General features: G+C 44.9%; 1 protein-coding gene across 3 annotated transcripts in view; it reads left to right on the plus strand.

The window, feature by feature from the left end:
- The window catches only part of RECK (reversion inducing cysteine rich protein with kazal motifs), an 87543-nt gene extending 72400 nt beyond the window's left edge, over positions 1 to 15143 (plus strand). For all 3 annotated transcript variants that reach the window (NM_001316345.2, XM_017015207.2, NM_021111.3), the window contains 7 exons: positions 645 to 767; positions 2993 to 3164; positions 7673 to 7865; positions 9445 to 9655; positions 11351 to 11424; positions 12221 to 12376; positions 13512 to 15143. In NM_001316345.2, coding sequence (NP_001303274.1) covers positions 645 to 767; positions 2993 to 3164; positions 7673 to 7865; positions 9445 to 9655; positions 11351 to 11424; positions 12221 to 12376; positions 13512 to 13733 — 1151 coding nt within the window. In that variant the 3' untranslated portion in view covers positions 13734 to 15143. The remainder of the gene's footprint in view (positions 1 to 644; positions 768 to 2992; positions 3165 to 7672; positions 7866 to 9444; positions 9656 to 11350; positions 11425 to 12220; positions 12377 to 13511) is intronic.

Genomic DNA, 27072 nt, shown 5'->3' on the forward strand with positions numbered 1-27072 from the left:
GAGCTGGGCATTCCTGCCAGGGCATCAGAAGAGTCTTTGATCCAAAGATGGCATCAGGTCTGGCCCTGGACAGATGAGCTTTCAAAGCAGAAGGGGCAGCCAGAAACATTCTTAGAGGATAGGGAGCACCCTGGTAAGACCAGCACTTCAGGGGCTTGGAGGAATACGATAGGAGGCAAATATGAAAATATAAATCCCACAGATTTTACTCTAGTTGGTATATTCAGAAGTCATCTTTCAAGAATTTCTGGCTGGGCACAGTGGCTCATGCTTGTTATCCCAGAACTTTGGTAGGCCGAGGCAGGCAGATGGCATGAGCCTAGGCATTCAAGACCAGCCTGGACAACATGGTGAAACCCTGTCTCTACAAAAAATACAAAAAATATCCAGATGTGGTGGTGTACACCTATAGTCCCAGTTACTTGGGAAGCTGAGGTGGGAGGATCACCTGAGCCCGGGAAGCGGAGGTTGCAGTGAGCTGGGATCACGCCAGTGCACTCCAGCCTGGGCGATAGAATGAGACCCTTCTCAAAAAAAAAAAAAGGAATTTCCATTTTAAAACTTGTTGAACTATTAAAATTGTAATACGTGCTCTATTTCTCAATGCATGATATAGATCAACATTTTCTTTCTGTTTCTGTCAGGTCATGGAACATCCTTTAGTATTGACTGCAATGTCTGTTCTTGTTTTGCTGGCAATTTGGTGTGCTCTACCCGCCTTTGCCTCAGTGAGCACAGTTCAGAAGATGACCGTCGTACCTTCACAGGTGACTGTGATCGCCCAGAGTCTGTCCTCAGGGGCCATCATTTCTTTGCACACATTTTTCCCTTCAAGGCAGCTTCTCCAGTCTTAACTGCAAATGTACACAATAAAATCAATACAGAATCTAAGGGCAAGATGCTTTTCCTCCCTGGATCTCAGTTTCTTCCTCTATGAATTGAAGGTATTATACTAAATGGTGTCTTAGGGCCCTTAGCACTAATATTCTGGAATTTCATGAGTCAAAAAGAACAGAGCCAGTGATTGGAATGGGTTTAATTAAATTGAACTTTTCTACCTGGTAGAATACCCCATTTACCCCTACTGCTATGATCTAAAATGTCCATGCATGTTCTCAGTTTGTTTCTCAGCACCTTCTTCCTCAGCCTACCTTAGCTTACTTCTTCATCTAGACTCCCACAAACAATAATATCCCAGAATATTACTTTCTTGACTTTCCTATGCTTTGCTGCTCTTATTATTCTTACACCAACATAAATAAGTGAAAAGGCTAGTGAGATGGGATGCTTTCCTCTCGTGAAGCTATTATTGCCAATAGCAACAGCACAGTCTGCTGGTATATCTTGGTATCTGCTTTTTCCTAGATCTAAAATACCTTTGGTTGTGGGTAAAAAGTTACTAGGTAGCTGCCCTTGCCCCCATTTCACACTGCTGCAGTGGCAACTTGATTCTTCTTTCCCCAGAATTAGTATTACATGTGGAGAGGGGTGGGGGCCGGGTGGAGGAGAAGTGGAGGAGAGGAGAGTAAGGATTTACCAACCTTGTACCTCCAGCCCATTGGAAATAAAAAGGGGATCAGAAATAAGAAGTGAATGGCACACTGGTAAGGAAGTAGAGGTAGGACGAACACTACCCCAGCCTTCACTGCTTTATTATCATCATCCTTTATTATTATCCTTTGCCCTGCTCAAGCAAGGACTATTCATTCTGCTTAGAGAAACCATAGAGGGATATGGGGATAAAGAATAAGCAAAGGATTTACAAGGAAGACTTTTTAAAATTTTTTTGTTAATGTCTAAATGTTTTTAGAAGTTGAGCTTTACAACTAGCAAGACCCCTGTTTCCTATAGTGTGTGGCCCCTGGTGTCCTGGGATAAATTAAGTCAATGACTGTTGATCTAGCAGACTAAGGAAATTTTACTGACCCAAAACTGTGCCACATTTCTTGGGACCCAGTGTCCCACTCCAAATGTGACTCAGAGAAAGAAGTTCATAACAATTTGTAAGTCTCAAAATTACAGTAATTTTCTAAGTTACTGTCTTAGACATGAGAGTGGAAGGAACCTACAACCTTCACTCTTTCTTTTTGTTTTTTCTGAGAAGGAGCTTTGCTTTTGTTGCCCAGGCTGGAGTGCAATGGCGTGATCTCGGCTCACCACAAACTCCGCCTCCTGGGATCAAGCAATTCTCCTGCCTCAGCCTCCCAAGTAGCTAGGAACGACAGGCATGCGCCACCATGCCATTCTAATTTTGTATTTTTAGTAGAGATGGGGTTTCTCCATGTTGGTCAGGCTGGTCTCGAACTCCCGACCTCAGGTGATCCGCCCACCTCAGCCTCTCAAAGTGCTGGGATTACAGGCGTGAGCCACTGTGCCCAGCCCACTCTTTCTTATGCTTGGTATTAGCCTTTAACATTCAAGAAATCCCCACACCAGACTTCAAACATCTAAATTCTAGATTTTATATGCCAAATCAGGAGAAACAGTCTTTACTTTCCCTACCTATAGCCTTGTTAATAGGGGTCTCTACCTGGGATCAAAGTCTAGGGGGCCCTCAACTAGTTGGCAATAAAAAGGACAAAGGAAAGCCATCTTGCAGATGAGCTATTCAGAGCATTGCTGCCTTTAAAAACCCTGTCAGAATACAAAAAAAAAAAAAAATTAGCTGGGCGTGGTGGCATGCGCCTGTAGTCCCAGCTACTCCGGAGGCTGAGGCAGGAGAATGGCGTGAACCTGGGAGGCAGAGCTTGCAGTGAGCCAAGATTGCGCCACTGCACTCCAGCCTGGGCGACACAGCGAGACTCCATCTCAAAAAAAAAAAAAAAAAAAAAACCCTGTCAGAGATCGGAGAGAAGGTTTTTCCTGACTTAATTTACAATTCTATTTTAACGTGAGACCTTCACATGATTGCTCATGGTTTGCCTTAACAAGGAAATATAAGGGGAGGGGGAATATACACATACATATTTTTGAGGCTGTTTCCTCTCCTCAGGTCTGCCCTGTAACTGTGCAGATCAGTTTGTCCCTGTATGTGGGCAGAATGGGCGCACTTACCCCAGTGCCTGCATTGCTCGCTGTGTGGGCCTCCAAGACCATCAGTTTGAGTTTGGATCATGCATGTCAAAGGATCCATGTAATCCTAATCCCTGCCAAAAAAACCAAAGGTAAGTCAAATGGCTTCTTATTTTATTCAACTGAAGACTAGTACTTACAAAGCATCTACCATATACCAGACAGTGAAAACAGAAAGGTAAATTAAGAAATCGCTGCTGCCCTGAAGAGTTTGGAGTCTGGAGGGAAAGAGAGCCATGTAAAGCTGCTTGATAAGGTGCTGCGATTGGGAGCCCAGAAGTAGGGCAGTTAATGCAGCCTGGGGAAGGCCCTGGGGGAGCCTCTAGAGATTGTGATACCTAGCTGAATCTAGAAAGATGAGTAAGAGATTGCAGGCAAGGTTTGCAGTAGAGAAAAAGAAGTGGTAGTGAAGGCAGACTAACAAGAGTCATGGCTGCTGGAAATGTTATCTCCGTAACATTGTTATCTCCATAACATGGTGTCTGTTGGGCACTAAAGCAGTTCTGTAAGACTGAAACAGAAAAGGTAACATAAGGAGAGGTAGCAGAAGAGACAAGAGAAAAGGGTGTATTCTTATTAGTAGCTGTCACCTGATAGTCAGGGGAAATTTTCTTCTAGTTATATGCAACTGTTTTAGAAATTGGACATGAGAAATCTCTGGAAATGCAACTTCACTACTATTTGAAATTACTTGTTTTGAGCTCCTTTCTCTGCTGTTTCCTCACTTGAGCTCAGAAGACAGTTGCCCCAGCCTTAATGATGGATTTCTGTATGGGGCAGCCACCACGGCAGGCATCTTGCTGACCCTTAGGTTACAGCCTTCTGGAAGCAGAGTGTTTATTGGATTGCCTGAATGACCTGAACAATACACATTCCAATGCCACAGTGCTTTCCTAAGCAATTGCTGCTTCTCCATCCTGAAAACCCTGGTGTAATATGGAGGGAGGGGGAGACTCTCTCATGTGTTAAAATAAATGGCAAAGAATTAGTCATCCATCTGCCAAATTTTATACAATGAAACTAATCCAAGAAAGTTTCTATGGAAAGAAGACAGGACGCAATGCATAAGAAATAAGCTGAAAGAATAATACAGGTTGTGTTGGGAGGTAGAATTGAGGATTGTCTTAATATTTTTTCATTTGTTTTATCCATTGGCTAGCCTTTCTGAATGAGGTTGTCTTGCTTTTATAATAAAACAATAAAAATAAATGTCAAAGTGGGAAGGCCTTCTTGAGTATATACAAGATTGAAAAATTCAGCTACATGAACCTCAAAATTTTCTGCATGGTAACAGACAAATGACACACTGGAAGGAATATCACAGAGAAAGCGCTGATGTCCTTGTAATATAAAGAGCCCCTGCAAATCCATCTGAGAAAGATCAACCTAATATCAAAATGGACAGAGATCAATAACCTAATAGAAAAATGGACCAAGGACATAAACATAAAAAAAGAAATCCAAATGGTTCTTAAACATTTGAAAAGGTACTTTTATTTGTTAGGGTAAGTAATTCCAGCTACTGTATACAAATTCCAAAATATCAATAATTTCACAGAGTAGATAATTACATAGAGCCCATTTGTTTCTTCAGCAGGCGGCTTTCCATGTGGTCATTCAGAGACGTGGGATCCTTCCATATAGTGACCCAGTCTTCTCCTACAGCCTCATAGTCCTCTTCTGTGTCTTCTGCATCTGGACAGCAGATAAAAGAAGGGAGATAGTGGGGATTGCTCTTAAGAAGCTTTAATAGGCCACATCTAAAAGTAACATTCATCACTACTTCCAGGCACATTCCATTGTCTAGAACTCAGTCCGTTGGCCATAATGAATTCCAGGGAGACTGGGAGATATAATTTATATACATACCCAGGAAGAAAGTGAAGTGAATTTGATAAACATCTAGCCAATCTGCCACAATGCTTAACCTTCTTCATGTTAAGAGAAATGTAAATTAAATTAAAACTACAATTGTGTACCACTTTCCATCTATCAGACTGGCAAAGCTAAAGTTTGATAACATGGTATAGGGAAATAGCTGCTTTCATACAAGAGGGAGCTGGAGGAGGATTGGTACATTCTCTATGGAGGGCAGTTTGGCCAAATTTGCAGTTTTAAATGCACATACCCTTTGGATTAGCACATATAAATGCTTATCCTTACATAAAATATATCTGTAGGGATAAATAAGAAAGTGGTAGCTCACACGTGTATTCCCAGCACCTTGGGAAGCCGAGGCAGGCAGATCGCTTGAGCTCAGGAGTTCGAGACTAGCCTGGGCAACATGGTGAAACCCTTTCTCTACCAAAAATTAGCCAGACATGGTGGCTTCCACCTGTAGTCCCAGCTACTCGGGAGGCTGAGGCAGGAGAATTGCTTGAACCCGGGAGACAGAGGCTGCAGTAAGCCGAGATGGTGCCACTGCACTCCAGCCTGGGGGACAGAACAAGACTCCATCTAAAAACAAAACAAAACAAAACAAAAAACACTAAAAGAAAGAAATTGGTAATAGTGGTGCCTCTAGGGAAGGGAACTAGGTGTCTAGGACACAAGAGTAGAAGGGAGGCCTATTTTTCACTGTATACCATGTTGTACTTTTTCAGTTTCACCATGGGCTTGTATTATGTGTTCAAAAAATAATTAATTGTGGCCGGGCACGGTGGCTCATACCTGTAATCCCAGCACTTTGGGAGGCAGAGGTGGGTGAATCACTTGAGGCCAGAAGTTCAAGACCAGCCTGGCCAACATGGTGAAATCCCATCTCTACTAAAAATATAAAAATTAGCTGGGCGTGGTGGCACACGCCTGTAATTCCAGCTACTCAGGAGGCTGAGGCAGCAGACTCTCTTGAACCCGGGAAGCAGAGGTTGCAGTAAGCTGAGATCACGCCACTGCCCTCCAGCCTGGGTGACAGAGCAAGACTCTGTCTCAAATAATAATAATAATAATAATAATAATTGTTAAGAATTGTATTCATCCATCAAGTATCTACTGATGTTCCAGGCATTTTTCTAAACATTAGGACATAACAACAAACAAGACAGATCAAGTCTCTGCCCTGCTCACGTTTACTTTTATTTGCCCCCAGATTCTCAACCTTTTTTTTATGATCCTCTTATTTCCATATACTCAAATTGATCAAGCTTTTTCTCTCAAAGTTACCAAATTTCTCCTGATATTCCTGTTTCTCATCCCTGGCATGTTAGTAAGTAATGAAGTTCTAAATATTATTTTCCATTATTTCTCTTCAAATATTTTAAATTTCCATAAAACCATAACTAAGTGCATTGTAATTTCAAACCATTTCATGCATAGTGACGGTGGTAGTGATTTTGGTGCAGGTTAGCCCTAAAAAGAGTATAAATCATTTCCTTTGAAATTAAAATAACACTAGCTACTATATGCTTCCTCTTTTATTTTATAAACTAAAATTTATATACCTTAGTACTTAAAATACCCAGTGAAAGCTAAACATTTTCATGGGTCTTATCTTCTTATAGAAAGTTATGTAAACCCTTTATAAAAATTAGGAAAGCAGAAAAAAGCCTAAAGAAGAAAAGAATCATCATCCCTAGCCCCTCTGAAGGAGCTCAGGAATTGAGAATGAAGCAAGGTCCTCATCTTACTAGGAAAGACCAGCTTCATGGTGGCATTCTCTCAGTCATTTGCAACCAGCTGGTATCAGATCCTCGGTCTTGTAGGCACAAAAACCTGAATTATTTTAGGACAAAGAGTGAGGCCTTTTTTTTTTTTTTTTTTTTTAGACAGAGTTTTGCTCTTGTTGCCCAGGCTGGGGTGCAATGGCGCGATATCAGCTCACCGCAACCTTCGCCTCCTGGGTTCAAGCGATTATCCTGCCTCAGCCTCCTGAGTAGCTGGGATTACAGGCATGCGCCACCATGCCTGGCTAATTTTGTATTTTTAGTAGAGATGGGGTTTCTCCATGTTGGTCAGGCTGGTCTCGACTCCCGACCTCAGGTGATCCACCCGCCTCGGCCTTCCAAAGTGCTAGCATTACAGGCGTGAGGCACCGTGCCCAGCTGAGGCCTTTTCTTAAGGTAGACTCATATTAGCCAAGCTGAAAGTTAAGCCCGTGGAAGTGTTTCATTTGTTACTGAATGCAAGGGCCTCCAGCCTCAGGCTCCAGCCTATCTCTTGGCCTCATATCATGGCCCTTCTGCTATAGGTCTGTCTGTGCCTGCTTGGCTCCTGCCCTCTGGATCACCTGCCATTTCCCCAGCACCACATTCCTTGAGCATCACACCTGTGTTCATGGCTGCTCTCTCAGCCTGGCAAGCCCATGCTGCCCCCTTTGCCCCCCCAGCCTCCAGCTAGAACACTGCCTCCTCCCCATGCTTTCTTCAGGCTCCCCAGACGAGAATGACTCATCCCCGCAAGCTTTGTGCACATCTTTTCTACTTTTTAGCCTACTGTATATACAGGCTTGACTCTCCCACTCTACATAAGCTCTTTGGAGACAGGACTGTCCTGATTCATCTCTTGCTCTCTCTTCAGCCTCCTATCCCTCATCTAGTGCTTTGCTAGCCCCACCACAGTCCCTCCCTACATTGGCTCATGGTGCTGCATTCGTCTTTTTCAGGTGCATACCCAAACCACAGGTCTGCCTGACGACTTTTGATAAATTTGGATGTAGCCAGTATGAGTGTGTACCAAGACAGCTCGCGTGTGACCAGGTCCAAGATCCTGTTTGTGACACAGACCACATGGAGCACAACAATCTCTGCACTTTATACCAAAGAGGAAAAAGCCTCTCTTACAAAGGTCCCTGCCAGGTACAGTGCTTTGGCTGACAAAACAAAGTACACTACGGATAAAATTGGTTTATGATATTTTACAGATGAATCAACAGTAAGACCAGCCGAGGGTCTTCTGTGAATCCTGTCAAATCTATAGCACCCAGTCCTCCACTAAAAAGGAAGACTGGCTCCTTCTCCTAACTCTGGAAGCTATCTTGCTAGTGTGTGTACCTTTGCACATCTGGTGTACAAGCAAGAACAGAGAGTGGCTTCTTGCAGTCCACTCCTAGGAAAAGAACTTAAAAGTTTCACAACCCTGGCATGGTCAACATCATTCTTACTTCTCATAGTTCTCTGGGCCCTCACTAAGAAACAAAGCAGGAAGAATGTGAGTCAAAACCAAGAAAAGTTTTCCCACTCTTCCCACATCAGTCCCACCTCCCAAGGTACTGAAAAGTCATTGAAATTTTCTTTAAGACTTAATGTCTTTTTACATCAGCTTATCTCTCAGTTTTGTAGGTTTATGGAATCTGCATTTATGTTTTAAGGAAAAAAACTGGGCCGGGCGCGGTGGCTCACGCCTGTAATCCCAGCACTTTGGGAGGCAGAAGAGGTGGATCACAAGGTCAGGAGTTCAAGATCAGCTTGACCAACATGGTGAAACCCCATCTCTACTAAAAATACAAAAATTAGCTGGGCATGGTGGCACATGCCTGTAATCCCAGCTACTCAGGAGGCTGAGGCAGGAGAATCGCTTGAACCCGGGAGGCGGAAGTTGCAGTGAGCCGAGATCATGCCATTGCACTCCAGCCTGGGTGACAGAGCAAGACTCCATCTAAAAAAAAAGAAAAAACCAAGGACAATTCCTTTTGAGGCTTCTCACATGCACCACTGATTTTATGCTTGCCCCTCTCCCTGGGGCCGTGCTTTGGGCCTAGCATCCGCTGCCCACAACCAGCTAACACTTAAAATGATTGCTTCACATTCTCTGGTCTTCATGGTTAGAAAAATTCCATCATGATGTCTCCCTGAAACATGCTTGTTTTCTCTCAGAGCCCCTGTGCCATTTGCATTGATCCCATCTACCCTGAATTCTGTCTTCCCCTACTTGTTCCCTTCTCCTGGCTGTGATTTTTCTCTGATCTATTCCTGACCTACCTGTTGGCTCCAGAGTCTGTCTACCCCACTGCTCCCCCAACTCCTCCCTCTCCTTATCCCATACCCAGCATGAAATGATAAGACCTCTGCATTTGCATGAAGATTGATCTGGTCATCTTAAAGAGGCGCTTCTGGGATACTAACAGAAGTCTGAGCAGAGCAGAGAGAGGTAGCAGGAAAGAAGATTTTTATCTCTTATCAGTTCACATGGAATAAGCACCCAGATCCCAGAGAGGCTGAGAAAAGTAATCTTTCAGCTCATCTGGAGACACCCATATTGCTGCCCACGCCACCACCACCCCCAGCATTTAGCCCACCTCAGGAACTTAAGAGGTCCTCATAATTTATACCTGTGTCTTTTTTCCTTCCTGAAAATAGGGAGGCATGCTGTGTACTCTTGGTTGGGAAAGGTACAACATAGACATTTCCAGGCTAAATGTGATTTGTTTGCCCTCAGCCCTTTTGCAGAGCAACCGAGCCCGTATGTGGGCACAATGGTGAGACCTACAGCAGTGTGTGTGCTGCCTACTCGGATCGCGTGGCAGTCGATTACTATGGGGACTGCCAGGCCGTCGGAGTCCTCTCAGAGCACAGCTCCGTCGCCGAGTGTGCTTCTGTCAAGTGTCCTTCGCTCTTGGCAGCTGGATGCAAACCCATCATCCCACCGGGTAGGCTGGCAGTATCGGGGTGGACAGGGGAGGACTGAGAAGATTTGCTTATCCACCTCCAGAGAGTGAGTCATTGAGAAGAGAGCTCATTTACGTTTTTCAGAAAGTCTTGAAGAGATTCTTATGCTGATCATACTCACTACTTTGGGTTGACCTTAAAAAACTAGGGCTTGCCTTCGATATCATCTGGTGTCCTGCTATTTTAAAACAATACAGCAGCCTTTTCTCAAGCTAAATCTTACACCAGACACCAATATATAAACAGATAAAGCAGTATTCAATTATGAAAATTAGGGTTATTAAATGCATAATGTTTACTTATTACAAAGTTAACAAATAACGAATTACTAATTAATGAATAATTAAAGTAGTTTTGATGAACACAAACTTTTGAAATTGAGAGAAATAGAAGATAGTTGTTGTCTTAGATTGGCCTTAACATCTAATTTAATTGTTTTAGTTGCATATAATCAGAAAAGTTTTGTTTCATACAGACTGTTTTTAGCAATAACAGTTTTTTAAAACAGCTTACCTTACAATCTCACACTCTTAGTCAAACAGAAGTAGCAGAAGAGACTTTATTCCAAGTCTGCACAGAACAGGTTAATCTGGATCTAACAGGTTCATTCCTCCATCCGTTAATTCATCAAATGTTTATTTAGCTTTCACTATGTGCCAGACGCTCCTCTAAGCACTGGGGACACAGCAGTGAGAAAAACAAAGCCCTTTTCCTTCTGGAGACCATGTTCTGAGGGAGGTGACAGACCAAACATAAGTTGCCATGCAAATCTGCACTAAACCAGATGGCAGCAAGTACGATGACACGAAATGAAGGGGAATCGGAGGGGCCCAGGGCAGAGAGGCTGCTAATGGATTGGTTAAATCTCTGTCGTGTGAAAATACGGCATAATATTATATTTGATTATGCCATATTCTGTTATGGGTTTTAGCAGTTTAAAATAATTTTTAAAATTAAATTTGAATCGGTCGGGCGTGGTGGCTCACGCCTGTAATCCCAGCACTTTGGGAGGCCGAGGCAGGCGGATCACGAGATCAGGAGATCGAAACCATCCTGACTAACACGGTGAAACCCTGTCTCTACTAAAAATACAAAAAAATTAGCCGGGCATGGTGGCGGGCACCTGTAGTCCCAGCTACTCTGGAGGCTGAGGCAGGAGAATGGCATGAACCCGGGAGGCGGAGCTTGCAGTGAGCCGAGATCGCGCCACTGCACTCTAGCCTGGGCAACAGAGCGAGACTCTGTCTCAAAAAAAAAAAAAATTAAATTTGAATCAAACACTCATGGAACCCCTGAAACACCAACTCCCTTATTTTGCAGACAGGGAAACAAGGCCTGGCAGAAGCATTTGCCCAGAATCACACAGTGAGTTTTGAGGCAGAGCAGGATCAGGCCCCAGGTCTCTTGAAAAGCCAGCTGTCTCTATGCTATCTGCACCACAGCCTTCTCACTCCAAGGAGTGGTGAAGGATGAAAAGCAGGGGTAGAGAAAGGATTTTGGTAAATGTAGAGATGAGAGGACTCCAGGTTGGTCAAGGAGCTTATATGAAGGTACAGTCTTTGGGAAGGACACTGTAACTCTCCTGCCCAAAATGAAGGGCTGGACATTTCACTAAGGATTTTAAATTCTCTTTGTTTCTAATTCTGAACGCACATAAAATGGTTTCTGTTATACAGGTGCTTGTTGCCCATTATGTGCTGGGATGTTAAGAGTTTTATTTGACAAAGAAAAACTGGATACTATTGCTAAGGTAAATTGCTTTATATTCAGATGCTATTGAAATCTTATTGCTAAGCCTCTCAGTAATCCTAGAGAGTAGAATGTGTTGTCCTCATTCATAGATAAAGAAACTAATCTTCAGAAAAGCAACTTTCCCAGGGCCATATAGCCCTTAATCAGTAGGACGAGGGTTTGCACCCAGGCTGGCTGACTCCCAAGCCCATGTTCCTCCCCCCTACACCCTGGCTGTGCACATCACAGTCAGCGTGAGCCTTTCTTAGAAAAGGCCCCTGCTGGCACAGTAAGCATAGGTGGGGCTGCAGGCAGAGCCAGGTAGCCAGAGACTGGTGGGTGCCCAGGTGCTTTTGAGGTCGCCTCCCCTCACACCAGTCCCCGTGCCTCCTGAGGGGATCTTCTGGAGCCCTGCCCGTTCCCTGCATAGTTCTGCCCTCTCTCTTTTCTGCACCATCACAGGGCTCCAGAAATGTTGCACCCAACACTTGCCACAACCTAGAGATTTAGCCCCATTTTGATTACAAACACCTGTATTTTTAAAAACCCTGTGACCTCTACCTCAGAACAGTCACTTTTTGCAAAAGTGGTTCTGGTGAAAGTATGTATCTTCACTACAGAGTTTCTCAGTCAGGCAAAACCCCATTGTGATGGACTGGAGATTCAGAATTTGGCCTAGCAAAGCTGCGGTTGGGCCTTCCGCTGAGGGCTGTGCGGTCAAAAGAGCCTCCTCAGCTGGCAGCCCAAAGCAAGGGAGCTTAGGCAGTCATAGGAATTCTTCTTTTTTTCAGGTAATACATGTTTTCTCTTTCCAGGTAACAAATAAAAAGCCAATAACAGTTCTGGAAATACTTCAGAAAATCCGCATGCACGTGTCTGTCCCACAGTGTGATGTGTTTGGATACTTCAGCATTGAATCAGAAATTGTGATCCTGATCATTCCCGTCGATCACTATCCAAAAGCTCTGCAGGTGAGTTCAGCACATGTTGTGAAGCCATCTTGTCACTTTCAAGTTTGGTGCACCTAGGAGGGAGTGGGCACAAACTAGGACCGAGGAAGGATCCGTGGGTGAGGGAGTGGAGGCATTTGGGAAGTTCAGCGGGACAGGAGGGAGAAAAGCAAGGCAATCTCTAAAGGACTGAGCACTTTGCCAGTGGCTGAGACCTGGTGCACATTTGACAGTGGGATGCAGAGGCACCAGGGCAGGGGAGGGATTAAGATACTGTGACTGGGAGTGTGCACAGCTGGAAGGGGTCCGAGAAATCACTGTCTCTAATCCACCCATTGTACAGACGAGGCAGCTGATGCCCAAGCCGGGGAAGGAACTGGTGCAGGTCATGCAGTGATAAAGCCAGAAAAGACTCCAGTCTCCTGAGAGCTGTGTGCCCACTGTGGAGGAAGATCCCATCAGAGCTGGTCATGTGGGCTCTAGTGTTTCTTTGTCAGTCTGGAGACATGTAGAACCCCACTCACGTAGACCCAAGTTTCAACATCAAAGGCAGTGAGGGCTCAAGGGAAGGGAACGAAGGCAAGCAGTCTGTGAATCACTAGGAAGTTCATCTCGTCGTTGTTTTCCTTTTCATGTTTCAATGGACATTAAAATTGTATTCTGTGTGACCCTAACTAACCATGTAAGGATAAAGTCTAAATGTGGGTAAGAGGTGTGGGTAACAGGTGTGGAAAAATGAAAACAGTTGATTGATTAGGGCAGTGGCATTGTGGATTATTTCTTGTCTTTCTCTTTTCTTTTTTCTTCTTTTCTTTTCTTTGAGATGGGATCTTGCTACATTGCCCAGGCTGGTCTCGAACTCCTGGGCTCAAGCTACCCTCCCACCTTGGCCTCCCAGAGTGCTAGGATTACAGGCATGAGCCACAACACATGGCCAATTATTTCTTTTCTGGTTTGATTTCCATTAATGCTGCTATATTTATGTAATAAACTAAAACTATAATAAAATGTTACTTTGGATAAGAACAGAAGGACAAAGAGAAAGTAAATGCCCTCTGAGGCCACGCTACTTTTAGGATATACGTGGAATTTGTCTGGCTTGATGTTGAAAACGTTCTGTGGTTTTATATTAAGGGAACCTTGTTTCTCCTCACAGATTGAAGCCTGCAATAAAGAAGCAGAGAAGATTGAGTCCCTTATCAACTCTGACAGCCCGACTTTGGCGTCCCATGTCCCTCTCTCTGCCCTCATCATTTCCCAGGTACAGGTCTCCAGCAGTGTGCCATCGGCCGGTGTCAGGGCCAGGCCTTCTTGCCACTCCCTCCTCCTTCCCCTCAGCTTGGGCCTTGCCTTGCACTTGCTCTGGACATATAACTGACTGCCCACGGAAAGTGCAGAATGCTCCTCCACCTCACTCTCCTGCCTTGAAAAAGACATTCAGGACTGCTGGTTTGTAGTTGAATATTGGCCAAGGAAAGGCACATGTCACCTCTATTCGCCACACAGTATTTTTTTTTTTAATCCGCCAATATTAGTAGGATTTTTGTTTTGTTTTTACAAATGTTAAAATGTGTTGTTCCAAATACTAATGAAAACAGAATGTCTCTTCCTGGTAGACCACTGCCATATGATTTACATTTCCTCACCATAAGGGTCCCCCACTCTAAAGCAAATTTATCGCTGGGAAATGAGATGACCACTTTTTAGAAAGATAATTCACTGTACTATCAGGTTCACAAACTTCATTTCAGAGTTCTTTTTGAAGTATTTAAGGTTCCCGTTGCATTTGTTTTGTTTACAGATAATTACCTACTCTGGCTAGAAGCTAGGGGTCCCAGTGAAGAGCCACTGCCATTAAAGAATATGAAACATAGATAAAACATCTTTGAAATTATGTAAATTATGTAAATTATCAGGCAAATTTGCATTAAATTACAGAAATTTAATTCAGAACCCCAACTACTGTGTTATGCAAAAGCAAGCTGATTAAATGACACTCATATAATTATATGTTGTAAGCAACAGGCTCACTGGTCACGGATTTGTGTCTGTGACTTTTGTGAAAGGGAGAAGTGACATTGCATCAAAGCATCTTGCATTATGCAATTTTTATATTAACCAGATATATATTCATCGGTATTCATCCAAGTTAAATGTAGAGTTTTTAAACATCAATCTTTAAACCAATTGCTGCTACTTATATAATTGCCAAAAAGTGAAATAATGTGTAGTTCATGTAAATAATACATTATATTTCTATTTTATTATGAAGAAGGTGAATAGCCATATTTGTAAAATGACAATCATGTGTGTTAACCCAGTGCTTTCCATTCGTGAAAACACATTTGCTTTTTGTGATATGCACAATGTAGATAAGTGTTCTGTCTGACTTTCTTTTTTGATATAGAAGTATAAAGAATTGTGGTTTATATATTTAAAAGTGTCAAGCTGAGTATTAAAATGTATGCATGTTGTCTAAGAAATTGAATACTTTGAATGTGTTTCACAGTTTGAAATAAGCTATTTGATGTAATACTTCTTGTGTGTATGCACATGAACTTAGATTTTACATGAAGTATTTTTTCAGTATTATATGTACCCTCTGAAATACATAGGGATATGCGTATTATACCAAAATGTTGCTGAAAAATGGGCACTTAAAGCTTTCAGAATATGTCAGTGCTGATGTAGCATGCTTGTTGCAATTGCCTTTTTTCTGTATAAATGTCTTTAATGCAATATACTGGAAAGCTTTTCTATTTTAATAAAAATAATTTTTATATGATCATGCATGCTTCTAAGCAATGTTGACATTCAAAAAGGAAACCACTGATCACCCTTAGGTGAGCTGTGTCCTTTGCTCGGGGATAAGAAGTCATGGAAATTAGCCGGGTATGGTGGCACATGTCTGTGGTCCCATCTACTTGGGAGGCTGAGGCTGGAGAATCGCTTGAACCTGGGAGGTGGAGGTTACAGTGAGCTGAGATCACACCACTGTACCCCAACCTGTCTCATACCTGAGACAGAGTGAGACCCTGTCTCAAAAAAAAAAAAAAGAAGTCATGGAGTGCTATTATCCCAAGCCAAGGGCCCTGGGAGAACAGGCCAGCTAGGACACAGTTGGTCAGACCAGAGGGCAGGCAGTGACAGAGAGTCAAATACAAAGACCCCAGCTTTCAGCCTTAAGGACAGAGAGAGCTTCAGGCCTTCCAAGACTGCATACTAGGCAGTTCTCCCCACTGTGCTGGTCCTGATGTTCCAGTTCCAGGGTACACCTGGGGCAGGGAGACCATGGGAATATGGAGATGGAGGGCTGCTGATGGGACCAGAGAAGTGGTACCAATCAGCTTAGGCTAAGTCCCCAAAACTTCAGTGGCTTACAACAGAGGCTTCTATTTTGTTCCCTTCACATGTCCATTGTGGGTCAGCTGCCACACCTGATACTATCTTCACTCCAGACCCATTCCAGCGTCCTCACAAAGGGCAGAAAAGAGACATAGAGGACCACAAGCTGGCCCTGAATTCTCTGCTTGGAAGTGATGCTGTCATTTCTTTCTACGTTTTACTAACCAAAGCAAGTCACATGGCCACTCCAGAGTTCAAAGGGTGGGGACATACAGTCCTCCCACGGTGTTTTGTGTGTGTTGGGGGAGGGACAGTAAGTATTTTGAATAACACTGTCTACCATAGACATCTTTTCTCATCAGGCTAGGACAATAGCCAGGACTGACAAGATTTTTTATTAGAGAAGTAGATGTTTCCAGCCTGGTCAACATAGCAAGAACCCATCTCAAAGAAAATGCAAGGCGTTTAATAGGACAGGTTGGAGAAGGTGATCAAATGGTACAGGCAACCTGCCATGGGAGGTGTGAGTTGGGGGAGGGAGCATCTAACAAGGGGGAAGACGCAAGCCCTCGAAAAGAGGGTTGGTTTGCACCAGGCCTGGAAGAAACCAGGAGACTTTGCCAGATGGCTTTGAGAAAGGCATTCTAAGTAGGAGGTACAGCTTGAGCAAAGGTGCAGAAACGACAGAGTCCAGGTCCGTTCCAGGGGTAGAACAGCAGGGCTGACATGTTGTGAGGGGCGTGGTGTGGGGAAGTATAAGGCAGATCCGATGTGCCCAGCTTGAATGCCAGGCCACAGTGGCATCCTAAGCCTCTGCCCTTGCCCTTCCAGCTACACTGACCAGCCTGGATAGCTCTAGCCTGCAAAGGATTGTGTGCCCCAAACTTCAGTGCCACGAGACCTTCAAGACCATCCACTGATCTTGTTACTAGGCAGTGCTTCCCTCTGTCCTGTGAGCACCCTGGACTCTCCTGAGGAAATAATAACTGAGCAGGCTGGGGGCCAGGGTTCCCTTAGGCCTGGTCCCCACCCTTAGAGTTCAGCCAGGGTCTCTTTCAGCTCCACTGTGGGAGGAAACTTAAACCCACCAGGAACACTGATCGTCACTGAAGAAACTGCACTTTCCTTCGTTTGATTCAATGCTTCTCTTTCAGCCTTGGGCTGATGGGAGTCAGGCCCACACACTCCCACAGAGGGTGCTCTAATTCTCAGAGGGACAGGAGGCCCCGCTGCAGGGGCCTTTCCTTCCCTGCCTCCCAGCTGCAGAAGAGGCTTGAGTTGTGCACTTTGCAAGCTGAGAGAAAGTGAAGGCAGAGGCGTCATTCCCAGGGATGAGCCAGTCCTTCCAGCAGTCCAGCAATCTTGGGGCTGGAGGGCAGATTTCCACGGTGCACACAGAGAGAAACCAAGAGTACAGGGACCAAGCTGTGGTTACACAGGGAGTCAGGGTGAAGCCACGGCCAGAGGCCAGGTCCAGGCTTTCCCTGGCACAAGGCAGCCAGGCAGGATTTGTACTTCTCAGAAATGGAACTGGCCATAAAGGAGGTTGCCATGAAGGTAGATGCCAGAAGGTGAGCAGAGTGAAACAGTTCCAAGGCCAGGTGAGCCTGGGTGGGTCTGAGCAAACAGGTTCAAGGAGCATCAGGAATCATAAAAAGTAACTGACACAGTTCGCCAGCTCACTTTCTAGGGCAGTTTAGGGAGTGCTTTTCACCATGTTGTCTCCCGGCCCAAAGCAAAACGCCTCACACAGAGAGCAAATGCCAAGTCTAAGGTTGAGTTTCATTCTAGAGCCCAGCCTCAGGGCATTAGGCTGATGGTGGAGAGGGTAGGGAAGGAAGCCTCACAGGGTGAACACTCTGTCCCCTGGCTCCACCCACTTTTCCATTATTCCAAAATGAAGTTCACTGTATTGTTTTTTCCTTGTAAAAGTTACGTGTGCACCTTCCCCCAAGTACTTGGAAATATAAATAAAGGAAAAAAAATCCCATACCTTCCTCTCCCTGCCTCTACAAATAAGTGCAGAATCCTTCTAGAGCCTTCTCTGTACATATCTATCTCTCTCTGTAATCAGGGCAAGGTACCTCCTCTGTCTGCAATGGGGAGGAGGTGGTTACCTCACTGCCCTGTGCGGGGAAATTGAGGGAAACGGTTTCATATTTGGGATGTTGTCTACTGGGCGGTACATCCTTGCCTAAAGGTTCATAGGTGGAAGCCCTATCTTGGCCAACACCCACCAGGTAATCAGGGGGTGGGTCTTTTCCTAAAGACCACCTCCTCTGTCTTCTCCAGACCAATCTCCCACTGAACTCTACTGCAAATGCAACCAGTTGCTTTGCCAAACAGAAGTGTAACCACTTAGGCAGGGCGCGATGGCTCATGCCTGTAATCCCAGCACTTTGGGAGGCTGAGGCAGGCAGATCACTTGAGCTCAGGGGTTCGAGACAAGCCTAGGCACCATGGCGAAACCCCATCTCTACAAAAAATACAAAGGCATGGTGGCATGTCCCTGTGGTCCTAGCTACTTGGGAGGCCGAGGTGGGAGAATGGTTTGAGCCAGGGTGGTTGAGGCTGCAGTGAGCCAAGATCATGCCACTGCACTCCCGCCTGGGCAACTGAGTGAGACCCTGTCTCATCCAAAAAAAAAAAAAAAAAAAAGAAGAAGAAGAAGGCTAACCATTTATGTTGGTCAGGGTCCTAGCAGGAAAACGAATGGTCCACCCAAATTAGGATTAATTGGAGGAAAGTTTAATAAAGGGGCTATTTATAAAGGTGTGGGCAGGATGTAGGGAAACCACAAGGCATAGTACAACACGCCAGGCCTCAAAGTGGAGCTGTTAGCACCTCTAACCCCTAAGCCTAACGGAGAAGCCATTGCTTCTCTCCCTTGGGTCTCCTCTCACAGCTCCCACTGGGAACCCAGTTGAAAACCCAAGGACCAGGCAGCCTGTGCTGGTAGTCATACAGGTCAGCCTTCTGGGGCAGAGATCAGGGCAGAGAGTGGAAATAAGGAAGGAAGTGGAGCAAAAAGAAGATACCCAGCACAGCAGGCCAGGGTGACACCAAGAAGAGCACTCAGTCGGTTGCACCACTCATTTTGGAGAAAGGGCTCTCGGCTTAACCCTTTGGACCATGTTCTGCTGAATGCTCCTTCCTGACCTTGCTCAGCCTCCTCAATTCCTCTCTGTCTTCCTCTCACAGCCCTTTATCAAGCCCACATTTGCCAGTGCCTCCACCCAGCTCCCTAAGAATTCGTCAGCCCTCTGCAACCCAAGAAAGCAGTCCAGGCCCCATGCCCCTTCTTGTCCCCCTTCTTGCTGGCACTCTTCTGACCAAAAGCCTAGAGCAGAACTGCAGTGCACTAGTGCAGGCTATTGCAGAAACTTCCTTCTGCCCGGGATTTGCTGGCTCTGAAGTGGAGGGCTGGGCTCTGGCCCCAAAAGGAGGGGAGTAGGGGGAAGGTGGACGCCTGGATCCAGCTCACCTTCTTCATCATCAGGAAGCTGCCCCACAGCAGGCACGCATCCTCATGGCGAGTATTCATGTTCTTCCTACAATGGCCCAGTCTGGCCACGTGTGAGCAGAGCAGAGAGTCCTCATGATAAAACGGATTTGGTCGTGTGTTTGTGAAATAAGCCCATATTGGGTGATTTTGAAACTCGTTGTTGTGGTTGCTATTGTAAATGTTTCCCCCATGACATAGTCCAACTGGTTATTGATACTATGTAATAAAGCAATTGATTTTTTAAAATTTTTTGGACCCCCTGGCTGTCATTTTAAATTTCATATTACTTTATATTTATTGGATTTTCTGAGGTTTTTCCAGGGAGAAGCCATAATGAAAACTTTGCTCTTTCTTTTTCAAAGAGATAAGATACCTCTTATTTCTTCTTGTTGCTCTAGTATTGGCTAGAACTCCCAGAACAATATTGAATAGCAGTGGGGACTGCAAGAAACCTTGTTGTGTTTTGGATTTTAATGGGGATGTCTCCATTGTTTTATTGTGAAGCATGACATGTTTGCTTTAAGCGTAACATGTTTTACTGTTAGTTTCAAGGGACTTCTTTTTATTCTGCTATGGAAAAGTAAGAGTTTTTTTAAACTCAGTAATAAATACTCAATTGTATCAAATATATTCCAGCATCCATTTACAGTATATTTTTCTTTGACTTATTAATATTGTGAATATATTTCTTTTTTTTTCTTCTCCCCGAGACAGTCTTACTCTGTCATCCCGACTGGAGTGCAGTGGTGCAATCACGGCTTACTGCAACCTCCAACTCCCGGGCTTAAGCAATCCTCCTGCTTCAGCCTTCCAAATAGCTGGGACTATCAGCACATGCCACTATGCCCAGCTAGTTTTTATTTTATTTCATTTATTTTTGAGACGTCTTCTCTCTCTGCCGCCCAGGCTGGAGTGCAGTGGCCGTGATCTCGGCTCACTGTAACCTTCCGCCTTCCGGGTTCAAGTGATTCTCCTGCCTCAGGCTCCCGAATAGCTGGGACTACAGGGGCTTGCTACCACGCCCGGCTAATTTTTTGTATTTTTGTTTTTGCGGGTGTTTTGTTTTGTTTTGTTGTGTTGTGTTTTTGAGACAGAGCTTTACTCTTGTTGTCCAGGCTGGGTGCAATGGCGCGATCTCGGCTCACTGCAAGCTCCGCCTCCTGGGTTCAAGCGATTCTTCTGACTCAGCCTCCCGAGTAGCTGGGACTTGCAGGCGCATGCCACCATGCCCAGCTATTTTTTGCATTTTTAGTAGAGGCGGGGTTTCCCCATATTGGCCAGCCTGGTTCCTCTTCTTAAATATTAATAATTTGTATTTTCTTAGAAAATTGCCCAATTAAGGAAAATTATTAGTGAGCAGTTGTCTATATGTTTTTTCTGAACACTTCTAAAAAAAGATTACATCCCCTTTTTATTACTAATGTGGTACATTTGAGTTTTCTCTTCTTTTAGACTTCTTTATTCATTTGATTTTGTAGTGATATATCTATTTGATATGTCTTCCAGCTCTAGGTTATATTTTTCAATCTTGCTCTTTATCTGTTTTCTACTATATAATTTTTTGTTTTTATCTACATTAACTGCTTTAGTCAATTTTAAACATCTTATAGCAATCTTATTATAGAAACATTTTCCTGTATTTGCTTATATTTATCCATGTATTCTTCTGTCCATCCATCTTACCTTTTATGTGTTTCAAAGTTGAATCCATTTAATTTTTTATGGATTCCGAAGTAAGTTGAAAACATCAATACATTTTACCCTGAAACACTTCCGCATTCATTCACTATTTCTTTATGTTTCTTTCCTTTCACTTATTTTTTGTTGTCTAGCTCCTTTAGTTCAGTGCTTTACTTTTCTTTTTAAATAAGTAATATAATAATATTTAAGATTTACTAACTGGCTGGGCACAGCGGCTCACACCTGTAATCCCAGCATTTTGGGAGGCTGAGGCAGGTGGATCACCTGAGGTCAGGAGTTTGAGACCAGCCTGGCCAACATGGTGAAACCCCGTCTCTACTAAATATACAAAAACTAGCCAAGCATGGTGGCACATGCCTGTAAGGTCTGTAATCCCAGCTACTCGAGAGACTGAGGCAGGAGAATCACTTGAACCTGGGAGGCGGAGGTTGTAGTGAGTCGAGACTGTGCCACTGCACTCCAGCCTGGGTGACAGAGAAAGACTCCATCTCAAAAAAAAAAAAAAAAAAAATTAACTAAAAAAATTAACTCTCATGTTTCAGGACAGTTTAGGGAAATTTTTAAATCAGACATCAGGGGAGAATCTTCTCCCTCCAGACCCCAAATTAGGTAATAGACTATTTTTATAAGTCAATGCATGTAAGATTCAGAATTCTAAGAAAAAGATGTCAATAAGAAAAGACTTTTTGGCTGGGCCCAGTGGTTCATGCTTGTAATCCCAGCACTTTGGGAGGCCGAGACAGGTAGATCACCTGAGGTCAGGAATTTGAGACCAGCTTGACTAATATGATGAAACCCTGTCTCTACGAAAAATACAAAAATTAGCCTGGGATGGTGGCAAGCACCTGTAATCCCAGCTACCTAGGAGGCTGAGACAGGAGAATAGCTTGAACCAGGTAGGCGGAGGTTGCAGTGAACCAAAATCATGCCATCACACTCCAGCCTGGGTAACAAAGCAAGACTCCATCTCAAATTAAAAAAAAAAAAAAGAGAGAGACTTAATTTTTTTTTTTTTTTTTAAAGACAGGGTCTCACTCCATTACCCAGGCTGGAGTACAGTAGCATGATCAGAATTCACTGCAGCCTTGAGCTCCTGGGCTCAAGCCATCCTCCCACTTCAGCCTCCTGAGTAGCAGGGACTACAGGTGTGTGCGCCACACCCAGCTATTTATTTTTAATTTTTTGTAGAGATAGGGTCTTGCCATGTTGTCCAGGCTGCTCTTGAATTCCTGGCCCCAAGCTATCCTCCCACCTTGGACTCCTATGGCACTGGGATTACAGGCATGAGCCATCCTGCCTGGCCAATAAGAGGGAGTTTTTCATTAAAATCCCTTTATTTTCAAGTCAAGGAAGTATTAAGTTATAAGAAGTTACTGTCTGTACTTTTTTTCTCAGTCCTTTGATGGTGAATCTTCTTTCCTTACAGGTTTCAACCCTCTGGGCACAGAGTCAAATATTCCCCTCTTAGGAAGGGTATACAAGGCCGGGTGCAGTGGCTTATGCCTATAATCCCAGCACTTTGGGAGGCCGAGGAGGGCAGATCATGAGGTCAGGAGTTTGAGACCAGCCTGGCCAACATGGTGAAACTCTGTCTCTACTAAAAATACAAAAATCAGCCGGGCATGGTGGCGCACGCCTGTAATTCCAGCTACTCAGGAGGCTGAGCCAGGAGAATTTCTTGAACCCAGGAGGCAGAGGCTGCAGTGAGCCGAGATCATACCACTGCAGTTCAGCCTGGGCAACAGAGCAAGACTCCATCTCAAAAAAAGAAAAAGAAAAGCAGAGCAAGATATTTTGAGCCCAGGTCTAACTCACAACCGATGTTCATATTTCTCATGCTGTATACTTTCCTCTAAGTACATCTTTGGCTGCATCCCATGTATTTTCTAACCACAATAATAAAGAAAGCATAACAGGATAAAATAAGGAGACTTTCTGCCAGTTTTCTTTCCCCCACTTTTCTAGTTGTCATGGCCTTTCACCCACTGGCTATTACAGTGAATTTTTTATTCCGAAAACCTCTGCCAATCAAGAGCCAAAGACTGGAGGGCTTAAAGCATAGTTTGTTTCATAAACCAGTTTGGGGAATAATTCATAATGATGTAAGAGCTTAGACACTGAGAAGGGGCTGAGTCATGGGGTGCAGCATGTTCTGGGAAAACAGATTTAGGACAGAAACAAAATTTCTCCTTTTAAGAATGGAGATACGATTGACATTCGCTGGTTTTTGGCTTTTCAGCATGTGGTAGAGTCTCTATTTGAATGTAAAAGACCCTTTCTAACTCTGGCAGCTTGTGGGGTTTGGAGAGGGGGTGGGAAATTTCCTTGGTTCTCTTTGTTTATTTATTTTATTAATTTTTTTGAGACAGAGTCTCGCTCTGTTGCCCAGGCTGGAGTGCGGTGGCACAATCTCGGCTCACTGCAACCTCCACCTCCTGGGTTCAAGCGATTCTCGTGCCTCAGCCTCCTGAGTAGCTGAGACTACAGTCTCGCGCCACCATGCCAGGCTAATTTTTTGTATTTTTAGTAGTGACGGGGTTTCACCACATTGGTCAGGTTTGTCTCGAACTCCTTACCTCAGGTGATCTGCCCACCTCAGCTTCCCAAAGTGTTGGGATTACAGGCGTGAGCCACCGCGCCTAGCACTGTGTTCTCTTTCTGGGTGCTTGTGTGAAGGCTTGTGACTCAGGCGCGGCCAGATGGATGCACCTGTCCAAGCACCCGAGTCTAGAGGAGGCAACTCAAAGGTGTGGAGAGGAGCCCAGAAAGATTAGGAATTTATCCCAAAGAAACTGAAGTAGATGTGAGTTTCCTTGAGTGTGATCTCAATCTTAAAAAAAAAAAAAAATCCTCTAAGCCAGGTGCAGTGGCACTCACCTGTAGTCCCAGCTACTTGGGAGGCAGAGGCAGGACAATCATCTGACCCAGGAATTCAAGGCTGCAGTGAGCTACTGTACTCCAGCCTGGGCACCATAGCAAGACACCATCGCTAAAAAAATTATCTAAGATAAGTATTATTATCTTCATTTTACAGATGAGAAAACAGACATGGAGAAACCCGAGCACCCAAACCAGAGCCACAGTCTCTGTGGGCAGCAGAGCTAGAAACTGAACTTGGGCCACAGGACTTCAAACCCATGTTCCACACTCTTAACAATTACCAAGTTTTTGTTGTTGTTGTTTTTTGTTTTTTTTTTTAGACAGGGGCTTGCTCTGTTGCCCAGGCTAAAGTACAGTGGCACAATCATAGCTCACTACAGCCTCGACCTCCCAGGATCAAATGATTCTCCATCTCAGCCTCCTGAGGAGCTGGGACCACAGGCATGTGCCACCACACCTGGCTAATTTTTGTAATTTTTTTTTTTTAATTTTGTGAGACACAGGGTCCCTCTATATTGTCCAGGCTCGTCTCAAACTCCTGTTCTCAAGCGATTCACCTGCCCTGGCTTCCCAAAGTGCTAGGATTACAGGTGTGAGCCACCACGCCCAGCCTGCAGAGTATTCAGATTGTCATTTATATCTGAACGTGTTTTGATTTTGCCTTTCAGTGCTGTAAGAGGGATTTTTTTTATTTTCTAGATGATTCAAAAATTTTTAGCCAATCTTTTGTTATTTAGTTTTAGTTTTATTACATTGTGCTCAGAAAATGTGACTGAATTTTTTCTACTTTCAGGAATTTATTACAGCTTAGTTTAAGACCTAACATTTGGTCAATTTTTGTATTTATTCCATACAAATTTGAAAATAATGTTATCGGGCCGGGAGTGTTGGCTCACGCCTGTAAACCCAGCATTTTGGGAGGCCGAGGCGGGTGGATCACCTGAGATCGGGAGTTTGAGACCAGCCTGGCCAACATGGAGAAATCCCGTTTCTACTAAAAACACAAAAATTAGCTGGATGTGGTGGCACATGCCTGTAATCCCAGCTACTGGGGTCAAGGGGAGGGCACTGAGGCAGCAGAATTGCTTGAACCTGGGAGGTGGAGGTTGCAGTGAGCCAAGATCAAGACACTGTACTCCAGCCTGGGCAACAGAGGGAGACTGCATCTCAAAAAGAAAAAAGAAAATAATGTTATCAAGTATGAATGGTATTAATACAAATTAAAAGGCAGATATTGTCAGACAGGATTTAAAAAAAAGACCTAACTGCATCTTGTCAACTATAAGATGTCTATTTTAAATATAAAGAAACGGTTAAAAGTTAAAAGATGGAGTAGTGGTGGCTGGGCGGGGTGGCTCACGCCTCTAATCCCAACACTTTGGGAGGCCAACGTGGGTAGATCACTTGAGTTCAAGGCCAGCCTGGCCAATATGGTGAAACCCCGTCTCTACTAAAAATACAAAAAATTAGCTGGGCATGGCGGCACATGCCTGTAATCCCAGCTACTTGGGAGGCTGAGGCAGGAGAATTGCTTGAACCCAGGAGGTGGAGGTTGCAGTGATCCGAGATCGCACCACTGCACCCCAGCCTATGAGACAGAGCGAGACTGTCTCAAAACACACACACACACACACACACACACACACACAAAGACAATACATTGGGTCAATCACTCTTCTTTGTGTCTGACCTTTGTGGCCATTTGTCTCTTGTGTCTGATGCCTGGACAGCGACTCCCTCTCCAACTAGCCCACGGCCCTTGGTCGGGGTTGACTTTGGCACTGCCCTAACACCCTCCATTCAGCACCCTGTTCCTTCATGTGCCTGCTGCTAAGGTTATGAATTTCTAAGTTAGGAAATGCATCCACTCTCAGCCCCTCTCACCTCCAGTCCTCAGACCTCAAGGTGTCAGTGAAACATGGTGGTCCCAGATGGGCTTCCCTCTGCGTGCAGTGAGCAGCCCGCTGAGCCTCACTGTCTCCACCCACGGCCTTAAAGTTTTTGTTATGTGAAATACAGCCTTCTAGAGATTCTAGGGGCAACATGGAATTCTTCCTACTGTGTTTATTTGATTATTTCAATAGGCATTTGTTGACAAAATGGGAGAGGGAATTGAATAGAGGGGGTTAGATCCCCACCTAGCACCAGGAGTCCCTTTTGTTTGTTTATAGAGATGGGAGGGGGGGTCTCACTATATTGCCTCAGGCTGGTCTTGAACTCCTGGGCTCAAGAATCCTCCCACCTCCGCCTCCTGAAGTGCTGGGATTACAGGCGTGAGCCACCGCACCCAGCCCCAGGAGTCCCTTTTGAATCAGGGTTGGGCACCAATTTGACCCATACTGAATACTTTAGGTGACTGTAACACAATGGTAAAAATTTGCATATATAAACAGATGTAAACATAGAAACATAGTAAAAATATGGTATCATAATCTCTTGGGACTACCACAGTATATGTGGTCTGGCATTGACTGAAATGTCATTACTCATGACGGTACTAAAATACAGTAGGTGTATTTGCCTGACATGGGGAAAGGAATAGAGAGCACAGTGCCCAGCCATCGCCCTGCGGGACATTCGTAAGCCGTTGGTATTACAAATTCTAGCCTTATCATCAGTGGGTCAGCTCACTTCAGTGCCCATTCATTGAAAAGCCTTAAAATTCGCTTCCTTCATTTGGGGTGTACTGAGCCCCTTCCCCAGAAAGGAGCGCTTGCGGGAAGTCTGGCACAGGTGACTAGGGCTGTGCGGTCAAGTAAGTGCACTTCTCCCACGGGGCAGGGGCCATGGGTGGGACCACATCTCCCCAGTACCTGGTGTGTGCTGCTCCCAGGGTCAGGGCACCTGGCAGTTGGAAAGACCGGCCGACCCCGAGGGATGGGCAGCACTGGAATGGTGGCTCCAGGGCCAGCACTCCCGGAGGAGGGACCGCCTGAGGAAAGGCAGGGAGGTGGGAAATCCCAGAACATGTTTGGGGAATGACAAGACATCTAGTTTGACTGGAGTATGGGGAAAAGGTGGGGCGTTGGGGAGACAGGTCTGGGGCCAGACTGCAGGGGTGGGAATTGGCTTGGTCTGGGAGGCAATGAGGGGCGAGTGGACGGGTCAGAGGCGGCGGCGCTTCCACCCCGACTGGCATTAGAGGGCGTGTCCTAGGAGAGGAGCATCCCCCTCCCCGGACCAGCCGCCCTCCGGAGCCCAGAGTCACCGGAGATGGGGGCACACCCCGGGGCTGCGTGTGTCGTGTCAGGCCGCGGCAGGGAGAGGCCGTCCCCTGGTGGCGCCG

This window comes from Homo sapiens, chromosome 9 (genome assembly GCF_000001405.40).
Source record: "Homo sapiens chromosome 9, GRCh38.p14 Primary Assembly".
NCBI lineage: Eukaryota > Metazoa > Chordata > Mammalia > Primates > Hominidae > Homo > Homo sapiens.